This window comes from Homo sapiens, chromosome 15 (assembly GCF_000001405.40).
Source record: "Homo sapiens chromosome 15, GRCh38.p14 Primary Assembly".
Lineage (NCBI taxonomy): Eukaryota > Metazoa > Chordata > Mammalia > Primates > Hominidae > Homo > Homo sapiens.
This window is the reverse complement of record NC_000015.10, coordinates 60,111,624-60,131,044: the sequence shown is the minus strand read 5'-3', so window position 1 is coordinate 60,131,044 and position 19,421 is coordinate 60,111,624. Positions and strand designations below refer to the sequence as shown.

The 19,421-nt window shown below is 40.6% G+C and overlaps 5 annotated features.

The window, feature by feature from the left end:
• Positions 1,912-2,413: an enhancer, noted in NCBI's record as "NANOG hESC enhancer chr15:60420831-60421332 (GRCh37/hg19 assembly coordinates)". NCBI's record gives its function as "activates a minimal SCP1, AML or CMV promoter by ChIP-STARR-seq in primed H9 embryonic stem cells {active_cell/tissue: H9 hESC(primed)}" and the evidence as "EXISTENCE:reporter gene assay evidence [ECO:0000049][PMID:30033119]".
• Positions 2,977-3,166: an enhancer, noted in NCBI's record as "active region_9504". NCBI's record gives its function as "activates an Ori minimal core promoter by ATAC-STARR-seq in GM12878 lymphoblastoid cells {active_cell/tissue: GM12878}" and the evidence as "EXISTENCE:reporter gene assay evidence [ECO:0000049][PMID:35858748]".
• Positions 10,227-10,916: an enhancer, noted in NCBI's record as "OCT4-NANOG hESC enhancer chr15:60412328-60413017 (GRCh37/hg19 assembly coordinates)". NCBI's record gives its function as "activates a minimal SCP1, AML or CMV promoter by ChIP-STARR-seq in naive and primed H9 embryonic stem cells {active_cell/tissue: H9 hESC(naive and primed)}" and the evidence as "EXISTENCE:reporter gene assay evidence [ECO:0000049][PMID:30033119]".
• Positions 10,917-11,607: an enhancer, noted in NCBI's record as "OCT4-NANOG-H3K4me1 hESC enhancer chr15:60411637-60412327 (GRCh37/hg19 assembly coordinates)". NCBI's record gives its function as "activates a minimal SCP1, AML or CMV promoter by ChIP-STARR-seq in naive and primed H9 embryonic stem cells {active_cell/tissue: H9 hESC(naive and primed)}" and the evidence as "EXISTENCE:reporter gene assay evidence [ECO:0000049][PMID:30033119]".
• Positions 12,298-12,988: an enhancer, noted in NCBI's record as "OCT4-NANOG hESC enhancer chr15:60410256-60410946 (GRCh37/hg19 assembly coordinates)". NCBI's record gives its function as "activates a minimal SCP1, AML or CMV promoter by ChIP-STARR-seq in naive H9 embryonic stem cells {active_cell/tissue: H9 hESC(naive)}" and the evidence as "EXISTENCE:reporter gene assay evidence [ECO:0000049][PMID:30033119]".

The window sequence follows — 19,421 nt, the reverse complement described above, 5'->3', positions numbered from 1 at the left end:
GTGTGGTGGCCTGTAATCCTAGCTGCTTGGGAGCCTGAGGCAGTAGAATTGCTTGAACTTGGGAGGTGGAGAGTGCAGCGCGCCGAGATTGTGCCACTGCATTCCAACCTGGACGACAGAGCAAGACTCTGTCTCAAAATAAAATAAAATAAAATAACCCCAAAAACAAAGTGCAAAGATAAAGTATAATAGGAGGACCAGCTAATATGAGGAGTCAAGGAGGGCATTCCTGTAGAACTGACATTTAAGCCAAGGTCTGAAACATCATTAAAAATTAAGTATGTATATAAAGGGGGAACTAAAACCCAGTTTCGAAATTTTTATGAAACCAGGTGCTTATCTCTTCCCTACTGCTTATTCTGTTTCTGAACAACCAACTGGAATGTGCAGTTCTGGTAGGTTTCTCTTCTTACTCCCTCACTAGTTGATGCAGCACATTGGCTGATACTGTCTTAAAAAAGAAACTTGAAGTGTGGCTTGAGAAAAGATCACAGAACCCAGAGAATTACATACTGCAAAGCACTACTGAGACCATGACTCCATTCCTAATTATAAAAAAGTCACTGTTAAAAAATGAGTGTTTCCACTTCCTGTGGGAGTTTTCTTTGCCAAAGAAAAGAACAAATGTGGTAGGCATGGATTCATAATTTGTAAAGGTAGGAAGGTTAGATTTTGAAATCTATTACAGCAGACATGTTTAGTGTAACATATAAAGATCACTACTCAGCGCATTAGGCCTCCAAGTGCTAATGGAGTTTTTCTTCCTAGGGCAGCTAAGAGAAGGGGCCATCGGCAGGCAGCAATGAAAACAAGGCATTCTGCCCAGAGTCGCACAGCCTGCCCCATACTTTATGATCCTCAGTAGGCTTCCATCTGTTTATTTTTATTTAGTTGAGTTTTTCAACAAGAAATATATATTTGTTACAGACAAAAGTAGTAAATACAGATTGATAAAAGTTAAATGAAAATTAGCCATTATGTCACTATGCAGAAAATATTAACAGCCATAAGCATTTTATGGTATAGCTGTATAGAGATATGGATTAAAAAATTAATTCGTGGCCCGGCCTGGTGGCTCACCCCTGTAATCTCAGCACTTTGGGAGGCTGAGGTGGGCAGATCATGAGGTCAGGAGTTCAAGACCAGCCTGGCCAACATGGTGAAACTTCGTCTCTACTAAAAATACAAAAATTAGCTGGGCGTGGTGGCACTCACCTGTAATCCCAGCTACTTGGGAGGCTGAGGCAGGAGAATCACTTGAACCCAGGAGGTGGAAGTTGCAGTAAGCCAAGATTGCACCATTGCATTCCAGTCTGGGTGACAAAAGCAAAACTCCATCTCAAAAAATAGATTAATTAATTAAAAATTAACTTGTGATCTTATTGACCTCACATTGTTGGTAATTAGTCTTTTACGATTGTTGCTTCTTTTAACTTTCAGTGATGATTTACTTTTTAGAGTAAGCCTTAAGCCTTCTAAGAAACCAAGACTCCTCCTGAAAACTCATTTGAGAAGTTACTTATGCTAATAATCCGCAATTCACAACCCTTTTCAGCAGTTTGTTCACCTCAGGGCTTCACAATAGGTCCTTGTTGCAATGCCATGCAAGTAGCTGCTCATGTGGAGGCTTGGGGATGGCTGGGGTTGGGCGGCAGTTTTGCAAATTTGTGCAGAAAAGTGACATTCAGGCTTCCCTTCCTTTCTCTTTGGTTTTTAGAACCAGAAAACTAGCAATGCCCTCAGGCAGAAAAATGACTTCAACTGTAGGTGGTAGAAGTGCAGTATTTTGGAGGAAGGCAAGAAAAAAATCATTTTACCAAAAAAGATACATTTGTAGTTTAATGAAGACGAATCCCAACTCTTAGTGACAGAGGTAGTCATATGCTGGAATTAAGCGTAGGGCTTACCTCTGTGAGCTGCAGGTGTTTCTCCTGTTCATATTTCTAAGGTGGTTTGCAATGCTACTGTGCTGTAAACATGCTTAAATTAGGTGGTTGTACTTCCTGGTTCTACCACGAAATGCTTCCAAAGTCATCCGGTCCTCCCCTATCCTGGGCACCCCCTCAATATTCTGGGACCATTAGGCTTTAACCTTCCAGACAAAGACCCCTCAGAGAGGAGAGCTGGCTATGGAAGGGACTATCCACAAATTCCAAGGACTCACGCGGGTGAAGGATGAGTTTGTTATGGAAATGATACAATTAGTATACCTGTTGGGGACAGAGGTGATTGCTACATTTTTCACACAGTGCCCCACGTTGGCTGATGAAAGCAGAAAAAGAATGCAACATTGATAAGCACATCCAGTATGACATGCTACAGGGAGAGCAGAGTAACAGCCCCTCAGAGGTGACTAACTAGGATTGAACTTTACTTGAAGCTGTCTGTAAGATTTTAAAAAAGAAAAGAAAAAAGATTTGTGTTGGGAAATTTTCTGCTTTCTTAATAATCTTTATCCAAAATTTCTGTTAGGACTTCAATATCTAAACAACTTGTGAAAGGGAATTATGATTCTCTGGTCTTTCCAAAACAAAAAGAACTAAGAGCAGTCCAAGTGAATAATACATTTGTTTACCTATTTATAACTATAGTAACTGACATCTTTTTGGCACTTACCTTGGGCATTTTCTTATTTATTATCTCACTTAACAACAACAGTATGAAATAGGTACTATCGTTTATTTGGTGTTAAGAAGAGGAAACCGGGCCAAAGAAAAGTTTTTCCCAACTCCAGTTTGGTTCCAAGTTCATGTTCTTAACACTGAACTCTACTGATGATCCCGAGTTCCTTTGTTTTGTACTTGTGACATTCCTGCAGGAGCAGTCACTCTTTTGTGACATGAGAAAGATGAGTTTGGGGCTCTGAAGTGCTTCTTAGCAAACCAGAGAAGCTTTGCAGGGCATGCTGCCAGTGAGCCAACTCTTGGGGGCTCATTTTTCTGGGCTCCTCATGCCAGGACAGAATGAAAGATTTCACTTAGATAATTACCTAGGAGGGGAAACCGTGTAAAAAGTCGTGGTGCTCAGAGATGATTAAAAAGCATGATTTAATAGAAGTTGCAGTTTCACTTTCACTCGAGGTTGAGGCATCTTAAAGGAGAGGGAAAAAACCATAGGGCAGAGTCAGGAGAGCGGGTTGGTCCTGTTTCGGTTCAGCTGTCTGGCTTAGGGCAAGCTCTGGGCTTCTCTGAGGCTTCATTTCTTCATGTATTAAATCAGGAGTGAGCCAGATAATCCCCAGCCTGTCTCGGCTTACAGTGTGAGATTTGTCTGTCTCTGCTGTAGCTGGGAAGTTACAGAAAGGGGGCACCCTCTCCTCGTCTTCCGCTGCTCCCTTCCCCCAACCCCTCATATTAGGAAACAACTTTCCAAATGACGTTTTTGAGAGGCCAGGTACAGACAAACTTATCTTTTAGTCTGGAGTGAAGTGCCACAAACCCAACAGCTGTTGTGGTCAGATGGGGTATACAAAAACAAACGTGCGCGCGCGCGCGCGCACACACACACACACACACACACACACACACACACACACACAAACACAGAAAACAAAAAAGGGTAGAGCCCACTGCATGGTCAATACAATTTTTTGGAAAAGATCTCTTGTTCTTAATCCTATTCTGATTTTCCCACTTTTGATAAAGTCGGTGGTCTAGAGAAACAAATCTCTGTTAGGAGAAAAACAGCTGTGTGGGTACACCAGGCAAGCCTAACTGAGCACAGCTGTGGGCTGGGCTGGCCTGGCCAGGGCCACCAGTTCACTTTCTCTGCCCTGGAAGCTGTCCATCCTCCATCAACAATTTGTCACCATGTCAGTTTTAAAATCCCAAGAGAACGACTATGTTGTTTTTATGCTGATCATTTATATTTACCCAGAAGTTTCTTTTAGGTTTAGCTGAAAGCCACCCTTCTCAAAAGTGCCTATAGTTACTCACAATTACTTGTGCAAAAAAAAAAAAAAAAAAAGGTAAAGGGGAAGTGGAGCCTGACAAAGATAATCCAGAAGTAATGTACACTGCTTTAGGAAATCTGTCATCTTCTGGAGGCAGACATGCCTGCCTACTGCCTAGTGTAGTACTTGGCACATACTGGGCACTCAAAAAAAACTATTCATGGAATGAGAGGATGGCTGGATGGATGGATGGATGGATGGATGGATGGATGGATAGACGGACGGATGGATGGACGGATGGATGGATGGATGGACCGACAGACGGACAGATGGATAGATAGATAGATAGATAGATAGATAGATAGACAGATAGATAGATAGATTGATAGGTAGGTAGGTGGATAGATAGATAGATAGATAGATAGATAGATAGACAGACAGACAGACAGACAGACATTCAATAGATGAGGTCACACAGCCCTAGAAGGCTAGGTCCTGTGTTAATAATGGGTAGCCAGCTGGAGGCAAACCTGGGACTGACAGGTCTGCCAATTTCACACACAGGGCTCATTCTACAATCTACTCCCTGCTTTCGTTTTTGTGTTTTTCATGTACAACTTAGTTCCTTAAGCACATGCAACTGTAAACCAATAACCCCTTAATGCTTTCTCATGTTCAAATGTGTGATCACATCTTACAATTTAGGGAGTACCCTGCACTAAGCAGGTTGGGTGCGATGGCTGCAACCACACAGCAGATGCTTCCCCTTCTGTGAGCAAATTTGGAGGTGTGCACAGGGTAAACTAGGCAGGAAGGCAAGAAGAGCTGTCTCTCTCCATCTCTCAAGTAGTCCAATAGCTGGATTCTTCTGGGTCAGTGCAGCGTTAACCAGAAGCCATGCTGCTAGCCCTCTCTGTGGCACCTTCTTAGAATTACTACTCAAATGCGGTGCAAAATGCTGTAACTGAGGGCTGTCAGCTTCTCCTAGATTGTTTAGAATGTGTTGTTTTCTCTTTTATTGATACATAATATTTTACATGTGTGTGGGGTACATGTGTTTGTTACATGCATAGAATGTGTAATGATCAAGCCAGGATATCTGGGTTATCCATCACCCTCAGTGTTTATCATTATTTTTGTGTTGGTATCATTTCAAGTTCTCTCATCTAGTTACTTTGAAATGTACCTAATATTCTTGCTAAGTGTAGTCACCCTAGTCTGCTATCAAACATTAAAGCTTATTTCTTCTAACTATTTTGTACCTATAACCAACCTCTCTCTGTCTCTCTTTTTTTTTTGAGACAGAGTCTCACTCTGTCACCCAGGCTGGCGGGCAGTGCCGTGATCTCAGTTCACTGCATCCTCCACCTCCCGTGTTCAAGCGATTCTCCTACCTCAGCTCCCTGAGTAGTTGGGACTACAGGCACACGCCACCACGCCTGGCTAATTTTTGTATTTTTTAGGAGAGACAGGGTTTCACTATGTTGGTCAGGCTGGTCTCAAACTCCTGACCTCAAATGATCCACACAGCTCGGCCTCCCGTAGTTCTGGGATTACCAACCAACCTCTCTTCATCTCCCTCCCCAGCATCCACACTTCCCCATTTCTGTCTTCTGAGATTTTTCATCAGCACAGAGCTACAGACTGCTCTAGCAGGGGATTTACTAAACTCAATCGGCCTTGGCACCCTCTCCCCCTAGTTTATCTTAATGAAACATTGTGAGGAATAGCATTTCCTGCACACTGTTTGAGAAACACATTCCAAATGTTTTGGGGCACTTTGGTCGTTTCTAAGCTCTTTATTCAATACAACACGTGCTGTGTAAATGCATGTGACTTGAAGATGTTGAAGAATAAAGTTGTTTCTCTTAATAAGAATTAAGTCAATGTTAAAGTTAACATTCTTAGAAAATAGCTGTTTGAGAAAAAATTTTTAATATCATTCCCATCCTACTAAGGCAAAATTGATAATTTCATTGAGACATGAAAGAATTCCAGAATTTTTCTGGCTGGGTAGCTGGGTGTCTATCTATCCATCTACCTGCCTACCCACCCATCTCATTATGAACATTTCACATAGAACAAAGAGAAACCTAATCAGTGCTCGTGTCTCCATTTCCTAGATTTGATAGTTACTAACATGTTACTGGAAATGGTTCACCAAGTTCTTTATGTTGCAATGTTTTAAAGAAAATTGCCAATATCATGACTTTTCCCTCTAAAAATTTTAGTATACGTTTCCAGAAAACAATAACTGACTGCTTCCTGTGTAACCACAATACCCACGTCTCACCTGACAGCATTCTCAGAGATGTGTTAATGTTATCTTATAGCCAGTTCCTGTTCAGTTTCTCAGCTGGGCTTATTCAAACCAGGATCCAACTAGGAACCACCCATTACATCTGGTTGTTATGTCTCTTAAGGTTTTTTAAAATCTGGAACTAAATTATATATGAAAAAGCAAAAATAAACAGGGAACTACGGAACAAGCACCAGGTTAGGGATTGATAGATCAAGCATCAGTCCAAGCTCTGCCACCAACCTGCTGTCCCCACTGAGCACAGCACATAGCACTCTGAGCCTCTTTGTCTCATCAATACATTTAATTCACTTACTTATCCATTCTTACTTTTAACAGATACGTACTGAGAGCCCAGATATGTATTGAGTGTTCAATATGGCCTCGTTCTTGCTCTGGGCACTGTTCTAGGAAGAAATTCGTCTTCCAGAAGATGATAGAATTTCATAATTCCAATTCTTGTGGATTATCCATGCAAGAATTCATCTCTTTCTTTCCTCTCCATTTCCATGACATTTATTTATTGAGGATACAAGTCAGTTGTCCCATAGAACTGAATAATTCTTCAATCATCTGACTTTTTCTTTTTGCGATATCATTTCTCCTGTTCTTCTACCTTCTGTATCTCCTATAACCTGGAAGTAATATCTGAAAATTTGACTAGATTTGGGTAGATTTTTGTGTGTGTTTGTTTTTTTTTTTTTTTGAGACAGAGTCTCACTCTGTCACCCAGGCTGGAGTGCAGTGGCACAGTCTCGACTTACTGCAACCTCTGCCTCCTGGGTTCAAGCGATTCTCCTGCCTCAGCCTCCTGGATAGCTGAGACTACAGGTGTGCACAAACACGCCTGGCTGATTTTTGTATTTTTAGTAGAAATGAGGTTTCACTATGTTGGCCAGGCTGGTCTCAAACTCCTGACCTTAGGTGATCCACCTGCCTTGGGCTCCCAGAGTGCTAGAATTACAGGGATGAGCCACTGCACCTGGCCTAGAATATTTTTTATGAAAATGTTTTATACGTGGTACTGTGTACTTTGTATTGCATCTCATCAAGAGTTACAGAATGTCTGGCTATCCCACTTTGGAAGTGCTAAGACCAATCATGGGTTTAGATCATTACAGCCAGATGCCCCACTATAGAAGCAGTGACTTGTGACTAGCAAGAAATCTGTTTGGGAAGGGGGACGTGCAGCGGAGTTAGCACATTTATACCATGTGAATCTAATCCTTTTATTTATTTATTTATTTATTTATTATTTTTTGAGACAGGGTCTTGCTCTGTTGCCCAGGCTGGAATGCAGTGGTGCAATAATAGTTCACTGCAGCCTCGACCTTCTGGGCTCAAGCTATCCTCCTGCCTCAGCCTCCTGAGTAGCTGGGACCAAAGGCACATGCCACTATGCCCAGCTAATTTTTAATTAATTTATTTATTTATTTATTTTTGTAGAGACAAGGTCTCCATTTATTGCCCAAGCTAGTCTTGAACTTCTGGGCTCAAATGATCCTCCTGCCTCAGCCTCCCAAAGTGCTGGGATTACAGGCATGAGCCACTGCGTCTGGCCTGAATCTAATTATTTATCAACCTTTTTCCTATTATCCATGGATTCTTGCTTGAATCTCTTAGTTCTTCAGGGATTGCAAAATGGTAATTTTCTAATTTCATCATTCTGTAGGGGAGAAAAGGTAATATCTTTTCCTTACCCATTGCAAGGTTCATGGCTGACACCCCTATAACAAAAGACAAATGAACAAGGGAAAAGAGTAACAAATTTATTTAGCTAAAGTTTTATGTGACATGGGAACCTTCAGAAAAGAAGACCTCAAAGACCCAGAGGAATCTGTATATTTTTATGTTAAGGTTGAGGAAGAATCGGCAGTCATGTAGAAGTATGGCTGGACATAGTACCATTATGACCTAATGGTAATGAACTGGGGGGAACTTAGCACGACCTGTTCGTTAGGATTCTTCTTGGCCTCTCTGTATCTTCATTTCTTTCCTCCTGGCATAGGTAAGGACACCTGTCACATGAGGATCCTGTGACCTACTTTGAAGGGAGGTAGGTCAGAAAGTTATTTTATGGCTACCTCTTACACAGAAAGACATGAGAAAGTCAGAGAATGACCTTTCTGCTTCTGCAGTTTTCTCAGTTTTCAAGGTGTCATATTTTGGGGTAGCATGTTCTGACCCCTGACAATTCCTTCTACATTTAGTAACCAGTATTCAACCATAAAAAAGGCCTTGCCTCATCAACAGGGGCTTAATGGTCAACCTAAAATAGAGTTCTAACTGGAAAGAACATAATTCTTACCTTTTATTTACCACTTTCCAGAGTAAGGAGTTGGTGTAATGGCCTTCTCCAAGATAACAAATGAGGATTTGTTTGCTGGCTTGCTTTCTCTTCATTGATTCTCATTTAAACACAGGGATTTTTACACGTTCAATGTGCTGCAATCCATTACCATCAATTATTCATTTTGATGCTGAAATTGTCCCAACTGTGTGGGTGTCCCTTCAAGTTGGGTCAATATTTGCAGGTGAAAAATGATGGAAAGATATCCTTAGCCGAAAACACGTCTAAGAACTTGGTTGTGACCGGTACTGGGCTAGATGCTGGGTGCAGAGGGCTACATTCACAGGCTTGGGTTCTTCTGTTAACCCTGAAGAAATAAGTCCTGAAAGTCTTAGTGAATAATTAAGCGCAAGCTGCTGACTGTGCCAGTTCACCTTTGAATATGCCCTTCTTCACCAGGCAAATGTGGCAAAGTGAGTCAGCTGTGGCCTCCCAAGGATGCAGCCAGGTAGCTAGTTCAGCAGATGGTAGCCAGTGACTCAAATCGACAAAAGGTAAATTAGAACCGAGAGGTTAGGAGGGTTTCAGTTTTTCTGTGTTTGTTCTGTTTCAGCTGTCTCCTAACTGCAGTTACAAAAGCCAAATCAAAATGATCTGAGTATTTGAGGCACAGTAGTTGGGGGGCAGAGGGTGGAGGTGAAGCGCTCTTGAGAAAAACAGGTGTTGGGGAAAGAATGTTGTGATCCTCCCTCGGTCCTTATTAGCTGTGTGGCCAAGGCAAGGCAGCTGGCTATCTTCAGTGGGCAAAACACCAACTCCTTATCCACACAATGGGCCTGAGGCCTGCCCTGCAGAGGCTTGTGGTGATGGCCAGTGGTGACCATTACTTTAATGTGGAAGCATTAAAGTAATTGGAAGATTCACTATTATTGGATAATAATTGGTAGGAGTATATTGGCTAGTTGTCCTGTAGAATGTATGACAATTATGGAATTGTCTGATGTTTGCCCTGCGCAGTTTCATTTATCTTGTTTTTCTACCCCTTGTATGTTCTGAAATCTGGAAGTGAGAGCAAAGGCTTGATTAAATTCTGGTGAAATATTTTTGACAATATTTTGGGTACCTAATTACCTTTCAACTTAAAATGATAAGAATAGGTAATACTTATTCAGTGCTTAATTTATTCAGGGATTTTTACACACTCAACGTGCTGCAATCCATAATGCTTTCAACTATCTCTTTTAGGTAGGTGCTAGTGGTGTTATTCCCATTTTACAGAAGCAGCTGAGCTGCAGAAAAGATAAGTAACTTGCTCAAAATTGCACAGCTAATAAACGACAGACATGGGATTTGAAACTGAGTTATCTCCAAGACTGTGGTCCTTAACCATTCTGCCATGAATGAATACTTCCTGGAGAAATCTGTAATAGATGTCTACATCATTTGATTTCCATAGCACACATTTGAGTTTTTAATTTGGACTTCTAGAGAGCAGAAAAACATTGGAGGTGATGTTTTAGGCAACAAGATGACTACAACAAATGTTTCCATCCAAGAAAGAGGCTATTCATGTCTGTGTGTGTAGTGTATGTATGAGAGTGTGTGTATGTGTGTGTGTGTGTGTGTGTGTGTGTGTGTGTGTGTGTGTGCGCTATAGTCACCATCTCTAGTGAGGAGTACCTGGAGAGATGGGACTACCTGCCTAGAAAAGCAGAGCTGTTGCTTTCTGTCATATGCTGTGACTTGGAAGACCCAAATGTGGCCTACCCATCATAGGGGAGAACTCTCACTTGGGGCAGTATAGCCCAGTGTTACACACACACGTTCTCTACTGAAGGCATGGAGCTGAATGGGGCTCTGCAGATTGACTTGCATTTTATGTTAAGAGAATTTTTCTAGGGTAGTATTAAGTGTGTGAACTTGAGAGCAAGGCTGCCTGTATTTGTAAGTGACACACACAGAGCTTGGTGCATGGCAATCACTCAATAAAGGCCAGCTATTGTTATTGGGATGAATGGCTTTCTTAGCTCAAAAGTGGGTTATGAAGAGAATCTTTGGGCTCTTCTCTGGAGATTAATAAAACCAAGAAACACTGGGCCAGAGTTCTCAATGAGGGTTCTAATACCACCTGCTGGGTGCAACCTAGTCTAGTGGGATGCGGGGTATTCATAACAATGACTAGAAATTCCCCTCCCTCAGCTCCCCCACACGTGTTACACCTGTGTCTTGGGACAAGCTGGTGTTAATCCCCACTCTCCCTGCCAAACAACAAGTGTCTTTGAAGTACCACTTCCTGTGGATCCTTCCTGCTGTGCAGCTCAGTGTCTTGAAAAGAGCTTTGAAGTCCCACTGACCCAGCTTGAATCCCAATCTCCCCACAGAGGAGCTGTGTTACTTTGGGCAAATTACCCAGTTTTTCTGAGCTTCAACTTCCCATCTGTAAAAAAAAGAGACAATACCTATCTCACGGGTCATTGTGAGCTCTTAGAACCAATAATATATGAAACACAGTGCTTAGACCACTGGAGGCCCCCTCCTGTGGCCACCCTGCCAAGACCACTGAGAGCATCTGGGAGGTATCTGGGGGCAAGGAAGTCATCTTTAGTGCGGTCTTTATCAGGTGGAATTGGGACCTCAAAACAGTGAATTTTAAAATCTACTTTCTTCAATCTGCTAAATGCCACCCACCCCCCGCCAACCCCAAATAGAAATAAGCAAAATAATGGGAGCATTGTGAATTACTGAACTAGATGATTCCAGTAAAGGCATAATTTATTCTTAGAGTAAAATGTTTATCCTTTTAATCCTAAAACATGTAAGATTGATCTTTTCAAAAAACAATCCATCTAGAGTAGTCAAATTTATAGAGACTTAAAGTAGAATGGTGGTTGCCAGGGGCTGATGGGAGAGGGGAATAGGCAGTAATGGCTTAATGGTTATGGAGTTTTAGTTTTGCAAAATGAAAAGAGATGTATGGATGCACAGTGGTGATGGCAGCACAGCTGTGTGAATGCACTTAATGCCATTGAACTATACACTTAAAGCTGTTTAAAATGCTAGGTTTTAGGTTGTGTGTATTTTACTGCAATTAAAACAAAAACAAAAACAAAAAACCTTAAATGTTCAAAACGTGAATGCATGCAATCTTAGTTTCCTCAAGCCTCTGAGTCCTGACAAGGAGGCTAGAATGAAGGCACATCTGGCACCGTGTTCTAGATTCTAAAAGCGAGACTCCTTTTCAGAGGCAGCATCCCTGTGTGTGGTCCTCAGCCGCCCACTGTGGTCAGTGATGGGGCATTCCCAGGATCTGGACACTCTTGTTTCATTTCTAAACCTGAGCCCCCTGAAAGGAAGGAACCTGTTTGTTGAGGACTCTGTTAAAATCAGGTTGGGGAGAGTTTTCTGGGAAATAGCTTCATAAATTGTGTGTAGATACAAAACTAACAGGCACATGAAAGATTTGTATTTTGAAAACAAAACCCCAGTGGGATTCTCTCAGCAGAAAATGAAAAGGTCTTCTTAACATTCAGTTGAACTATTAGAGCCATTTTTGCTGTTGCAAGCACTAATGCAGGTATGGCCACTGCCACAGCCCCAGATTGCAGCACAGCAAATTAGCAAGGTTTTAACTTGGCTGCAAATATCAAGCTGGCTGCTTGTCATTATGCAAAAAGGAATGGGGCTGGGAGGGGGACCGGCACGTAGCGGCAAAGCACATTATAATTGTTTAAGCAGGCCCCACAAGTCATGCATTTCAATTATTTGTTCAAAGCAGCCTGCAATTAGGAGTTGCAAACAAGGCTTTTGAATGCAAAGTCAGACAATTAAAATGTTTCATGAGTGCATTAGAGAAAGAAGTTCTGAATTAGCACTTTGAATACACAAGACCTCTTTTTCTAATCTCTAGTCCCTTTCACTCTGTGAAAAAAAGAGAGAGTGAGAGAAAGACATTTTGGGCTGTGGTGGAGGTGATTTGGGTGTTTACTTATTTATATCAAATGCCTGACTAATCCAGGGAAGATTGAACCATCCTAATCGGCCCCTCGTACGTTTCAATGTCTCTTGTTACTTGCCAGATAGTCCTTGTCGAAGCATAATGGCCCAGGTGCCAAACCCATCACCCAAGGGGGTCGTAAATCCCTTTAAGCATCTCTCCTCCTCCTTCCCTCACCACTCCCCATTCTTTCCTTTGAAGAAGCGGGTCTATTTGAACCAGTGATTTGTGACTTTCCAGTATTTAGGGCACAACCCCGAGCTGGTTGCACTAACACACAGGCTGGGGGAAATGAGTACACTGGCCAGTGTTGGGATCAGGGAGGAGAGATTCTGTGTGTTCTGGGGTGCCGATGAGCAGAAGCTGGCTGCTCTGGGTAAGCATGAAAAAGACACTAACCTGCCTTTTTCTTTGAAGGAAGATCTGCTGTTAAACTCCTTTCCCTCCCCCACCTACCTCCCCACCCACACATTCCCTTCCCCAGTCCACAAATGCCGTACTGACATTAAATTTTATTTTATGATGTATTTTAAGAACGCTTTAAAATTCTGATCAGAGGAGACACTTTGAGGAGAGGCGGGTGTATCAAACATAGGGGGAAATGTAAACACTCCTCCTTCAACCTTTTTTCCCTGTTAAATTGTGAGGCTTCCTAAAAAGCATTATTTGTACGAGGCATCAACCATTATTACAAACTAAGTGACTGCAACCCAAAGCACTTTACGTTATTATTCAGTGTGTGAGATTAACCAGGACAATCCTGACAATTTAAGGTGAAAATTGCTAACGTATCAGTTAATGTGTGCCTGTGTGCATGCATGCCTAATTTGAGAGCCTGGTGGCTAGCAGCCTTAATTTATCATTTCCTGACTGTAGCTAATTTATGAAAGATGATTTAAGTAATCCTATTTATCCTTTTATAAAGAAAACACATTTTAAAAATTATCTGGTTCAGGTAGGGAAAAGTTCTTTGAAAAAAACCCCTCTAATATGGAAAATAAATATTCAAAATATGGATATTGTGAATAGTATGCAATTCTTTTCTAATTACTTTGCCTCCAAGCAATCGTTCAGGGTTCAGAACACTGTTAAAATACCAAGTATCTGATAGGATTGATGAGACTTTATGTGATCAATACATTTTATCAGTTGAAAATTTTAATGTTTTTCTGTGGGAAACATTTCTATAGGCCTACCTAAAAATAAGTTGTTTTTCCAATTAGCCCATGCATAACTAAGGATGCTGTCATGAGAAGCATTAAAATCATATCATTTTAATGCTTGAGATATGTAAGTACAACAAAATATTTGTTTTAGTTGGCACAGTTTTTAATATCTTGCTTTTTTTTTTTTTTTACAACTCTGACATTTTAAATCTTTTGAAAGACCCGAAGTGATAAACTGAATCATTCTAGATTGATTAGGTTTTTGTAACCTACTACATTAGTTTTGCTGATCTGTGTTTGAAGGTAGTAAGTGCCATATAAAAAAAGACTTTATTTAAAAATCAAAATAGCTGTACATTCTTTACCATAGGCTTGTCCAAGGTAATTTACAATAGAAAGGGGAGGGGAAGGAAGTCAGCTGTGAGGGAAGCTCTGCGTAAAATCCCACTTAGGTGCAACCTGAGTCTCCTCCCCAGAACAACCTTTAAAAACATCTGTCCTGAATGGGGAGCTTTAATCTGCAGGAGAGACTCAATAAAATAAATGATAGCCAAGCCTCAGTCATACCAGTGGAAACTGACAAATAATAAATTGTATTTGATTTGGTGATTTCTGGATTGCTTCACAACTTTTGGGTCTGCTTATTTATTTACTCATTAGTTTTATGAGTGTTAGTTCTACAGCTGGCTTCTTTTTCTCTAAAGAGGTAATTTAATCAGAGGGTGTGCCTACAAGTTGTACTAACATAACAGGTGTTAAACCCTAAACAGCCTGAAAACTAGCTCTGAGACCTTCTTAAGTTGACTCGGAGAGGGAAAAAGAAACAAGAAAAAGAAAAATACCCCGAAAACATTTCTCTCCCAGGCTGCTGTCACAAGTAGGTATTCCTCCCAAGGGTGACTAAAAGCAGTTGCTCCTGCAGTAAGAAAGAGAGAGGGAAAAGACTGTCCAAGCTCTGCTCTTCTAGAACTTGGAGACTTAGGGTCTCCAATGTCTGACAGGTAACCTAGAAGATGCAGCCAACCTTTTCAGGAGGCAGCCAAGGAGAATCGAAGCTGCTTATCCCCATGTTACTCCCCTTCTCATTGCACATTTTATTCCAATCCATTTCACAATCAAGAGGTAGTGGGAATCTTGCCACTGAAATGCCACCATTTCTGGGACCCAGGGCTGGAAGCCAACCAGCCCTTTGGATATCTCAGTAGGAGGCAGAGAGAAGTTTCTGCTGAAGGACACCAGTACAAACGCCTTTTATGCGAGGGGACATGGAAATACTTCAAATTATCTACCTTCAAAAGCTGAGTGTTTGAGTCGCTACCCAAGAACGGATTCCTGAGTCTGTGAAATGGAAAAACAAAGGTGTTCAGGGCTGGGTAACAGGACGGAGGCTTTTCCCAGCTGTAGAATTCAAGGATGATGAAAGGGAGATGCAATAGAATGTAAAACAAATTGTTCACTGGAGAGTGGAAAATACAGATTTGAAAGTTAAGTGTCTGGAACAAGAGAGATATGAGTCACTGGAATTTACAAGTTACTATAGGAAACAAAGATAAAGAGATCATGAGAGAAGTAGTAACGCCAGTAGCAAAATGGCATTTCGTTAACTGCAAAACTAGATGATGGCAGAAACCGTTCATCAACTGGGGAAAGAGATAGTAATTATCTGCTGTTGAAGACAACAGCAGATAATAGCATTGACATAGGGACCTACAGGAACAAAATTGGGTGTTTGGCAATTATGTCAAATGGGAGCACAGATTTTTCTTCCCCTTCAACATGGTAAATCAGAGAAAATTAGGTCTGGAGGGCACTCAGTTTCCAGTAGGGAAGAGAGGAAAGCTTGGTTTTCCAAGGGGCGATGGTATTCCACCTAGAGGGAAACTGGTTTTCTCTGTGCCAAATAGCAGGGCTTCTTATGTGAAGGTCAAAAACACATTTGGCATTTTGAATTTGTGTGTGTGGATGCAAAATATGTGTGAGGAAAAGTGCATAAATACCCCAACAGCTGCCACCATCAGGCCAAGAAATAGGAGACTGCCAGCCCCCCGGTGTATCCTTCCCAACCACAAATCCGGCGTCCCCCAGAGGTACTATCCCAACTTTAATTCTAACAATTCCCTTGCTTTTCCCTATTCTTTTGTGATCTCTGTATACTTCTCTAAACAATATAGCTTAGTTTTGTCTGTTTTTGAGTTGTATATGTTTATGTACATGTAGATAGAAATGTAGCCACAGTCTTCTTTCAGGTCTAGCTTCTTCTCAACATTATTTTTGTTACTTTCATCCTTGTTGGGTGTAGGTGTAGTTTGTTCACTTCCATTGCCAAATCACATCCCATTGTACGCATGTATCACAACGTATCCATTCTTTTGTTTCTCGGCATTTTGGCTCGTGCCAGAGATTAATAGTGAATCACCATCCCTGTGTTCTGCCGGGCACCTCTTGTTCCTGGGCACATCTGGATGGCTTTGTCAGCCTTCTTTCAGTGAGGTATGACCATGGGGTCTGGTCTGCCCACACACACCTCCCACCTATGATTTTCCATTATCTTCCCCACCCCCCTCCCCCACGTGTGGACTAGAGGTGACCTCTGGGTGTCCTTGGAAACCATGTGTAGAAGACTGGAAAGCCACAAGATAGAAAAAACCTCGGTTCCTGAATCACCGGTAGGATGAGAGCTGCCCAGAAGAACACCCTGATTGGGAGCATCCACATTGGCCTAACATGGGAGTAGGAAATAAACGATTTTATCGTGTCAAATGAATCAGCCAGCTTCACCTTAACTAATATGGAGTTGTTCCACTGTAGGCTATTAAGAACGATGCTGCTATGAAGTCTTGAAAATGTATCTTGCTGCACATAAGTCCATGATTCTAAAGGGTGTAAACTCAGGAGTGGAGCTGCTGGATCAAAGACTCTGCATATCTCCAACTTTATGAGATGATGGTGGTCTGCTTCCAAAATGTACTGCTTCCAGTTTATACTTTCACCAGCAGGGATAAGAGTTCTATGCTCATCAATCCTTGGTATTGTTCTTATTGTTTACTTGTGCCAGTAGGAAGGGAGTGGTTTGTCACAGTGGCATACAATTTGCATTTCCTCGACAACTGAGATTGCTTACACTTTCATGTGTTTATTAATCATTTGGATTTCCCCTTATATGAGGCCCCTGCCCAAGTCTTTTGCCAAGTCTTTTCTTGAGTTATCTTTCTCCTGGTGTGTAAGATTTTAAAAAATACATTCTGAACACTAGGCCCTCATGAATTATATGTGTTGGCTATTGGCTTCACCCATTCTATGGCAAAAATTTCTTTTTGCTTTTCAAATGCTATCTTTGGTAAATATAGTTTAGATGTAAAATTTATCAATTTTTAATTTAAGATTAGTATTTTTTTACTGTCTTAAGAAATCCTTCTCATAAATATTTTCCTATATTCTAAAATCTTTATAGCTCTGTTTTTTACATTTAGTTTTAAAATCCATCCACAATTATTATTTGCATATTATATGAGATAGGGGTTTAATTTCAGTTTCTCCCAAGTGATTCCCAATTTTTCCAGCATCATTAATTGAAAAATGTGTCCTTTTCCCACTACTCTGCTTTGCTACCTTTGTCAAATATCACGTGTTCATATATATATATATAATATAATATATATATTATATATATATTATATATATATATATATATATGAGTCTGTTTTAGGGCTTTCTGTTTTGTCCTAGTGGTCTATTTGTTTATCTCTGCACCAATTCCACAATATCTTGATTGTCATAGCTTTATAATGTCTTAGAATCTGATATAGCAAGACCTCCCAAGATTTCTTTTTCAAAAGTGTCTCAGGTTTTGTAAGCTTTTCGCATTTCCACATGAATTTTATGATCATCTTGAATTATTCCAAAACAAACTATTGAGATTTGAACTGTGATTTCATTAAATCTATAAGTAAATTTGGGGGAAATTTATTGAATTGGCATATTCCTCCAAACATGTAAATCTTTATTAATATCTCTCAGTTGATTTTTATACATTGATTTTGGATCTAGAAACACCCTAAATTCATGTTAATTCTAACAATTTATCTGTAGATTTTTAAAAATTTCTGTTTATACAACCATGTTATACATGAATAATGACAGATTCATTTCTTCCTTTTCACTTCTTATAACTTTTATTTATTTTTTGGTGCTGTATCGTCTAAGACCTCCAGTACAAAGTTGAATGAAAATAGTCCTGGTAAGCGTCCTCATCTAGTTCTTAATCTTAAAAGGAATGCTTTTAATATTTTACCATTAAGTATGTTATTTGCTGTAGGATTTTAATATATATTCCTTTACAGATTAAGGAATTTCACTTCTAATTCTGGTTTACTAAAAATTTAATTATTAAATGTTAAGCTTATATACTGGTATAATCCCCATTTGATCATAATATATTATTATCCTCTTCAATTATTATTGGAGTTTGCTCTCAGATGGTTTTTTAAGGATTTTTTGCATTGATATCATGTGTGAAATTGGCGTATGACTTACCTTTCTTATCTATGGTCCTTGTGAAGTTTTAGAATCTATACTAGTTTCTTATGAGCTGGGGATGTCCTCTCTTTTCCTATTCTCTGGAGGTTTGGGTAAAAAATAAAAATAACTGTATCTTATGTTTATTAGAACTTGCTGTAGAAGCCATCAGATACTAGTGTTTTCTTCATTGGATGATTTTTTTTTTTTTTTTTTTTTTGGTGGAGCCTCGCTCTGTCACCCAGGCTGGAGTGCAGTGGGGCACTCTCTGCTCACTGCAACCTCCGCCTCCTGGGTTCAGGCAATTCTTCTGCCTCAGCCTCCCAATACTGGATGATTTTTTAAACTATTAATTCAATTTGTAATTTTATGAGCATTCAAGTTTTCTATTTCTTTTTGAGTCCAACTTTTCCAAGAATGTCTCCATTTAATGTAAATCATTAAAATATATAGACAGAAAGGAGTTTATAATATCCTCATTCTCTGTTAATCTTTTTTTTTTTTTTTTTTAAAGTCTCACTCTTTCTCCCAGGCTGGACTGTAGTAGTGCAATCTTGGCTCACTGCAACCTCTGCCTCCTGGGTTCAAGCGATTCTCCTGCCTCAGCCTCTTGAATAGCTGGGCTTACAGGTGCCCGCCACCATGCCTGGCTAATTTTTGTACTTTTAGTAGAGATGAGGTTTTGCCATTTTGGCCAGGTTGGTCTCGAACTCCTGACCTCAAGCGATCCACCCACCTCAGCCTCCCAAAGTGCTGGGATTACAGGCGTAAGCCACTGCACCCTGCCATATGTCTCTTTTTTTCATTCCTCATATTACTTATTTGTGTCTTTCTTTTTCTTGATCAGTCTCAGCTGTGGCTTGTCAACCTTTTTTTTTTTTTTTTTTTTTTTTTTTTTTGTGACACGAAGTTTTGCTCTTGTTGCCCAGGCTGAAGTGCAATGGCATGATCTGAGCTCACTGTAACCTCCACCTCCCGGGTTCAAGCGATTCTCCTGCCTCAGCCTCCTGAGTAGCTGGGACTACAGGCGCCTGCCAACATGCCTGGCAATTTTTGTATATTTAGTAGAGATGGGGTTTCACCATGTTGACCAGGCTGGTCTTGAACTTCTGACCTCAGGTGATCCACCCGCCTTGGCCTCCCAAAGTGCTGGGATTACAGGCATGAGGCACCGCTCCTGGCCCTGTCAATTTTTTTAACCTTTTCAAACAAACAACTCTTGTTTTTTGCTAATCTTCTAGATTGTATATGTCTTTTCTATTTCA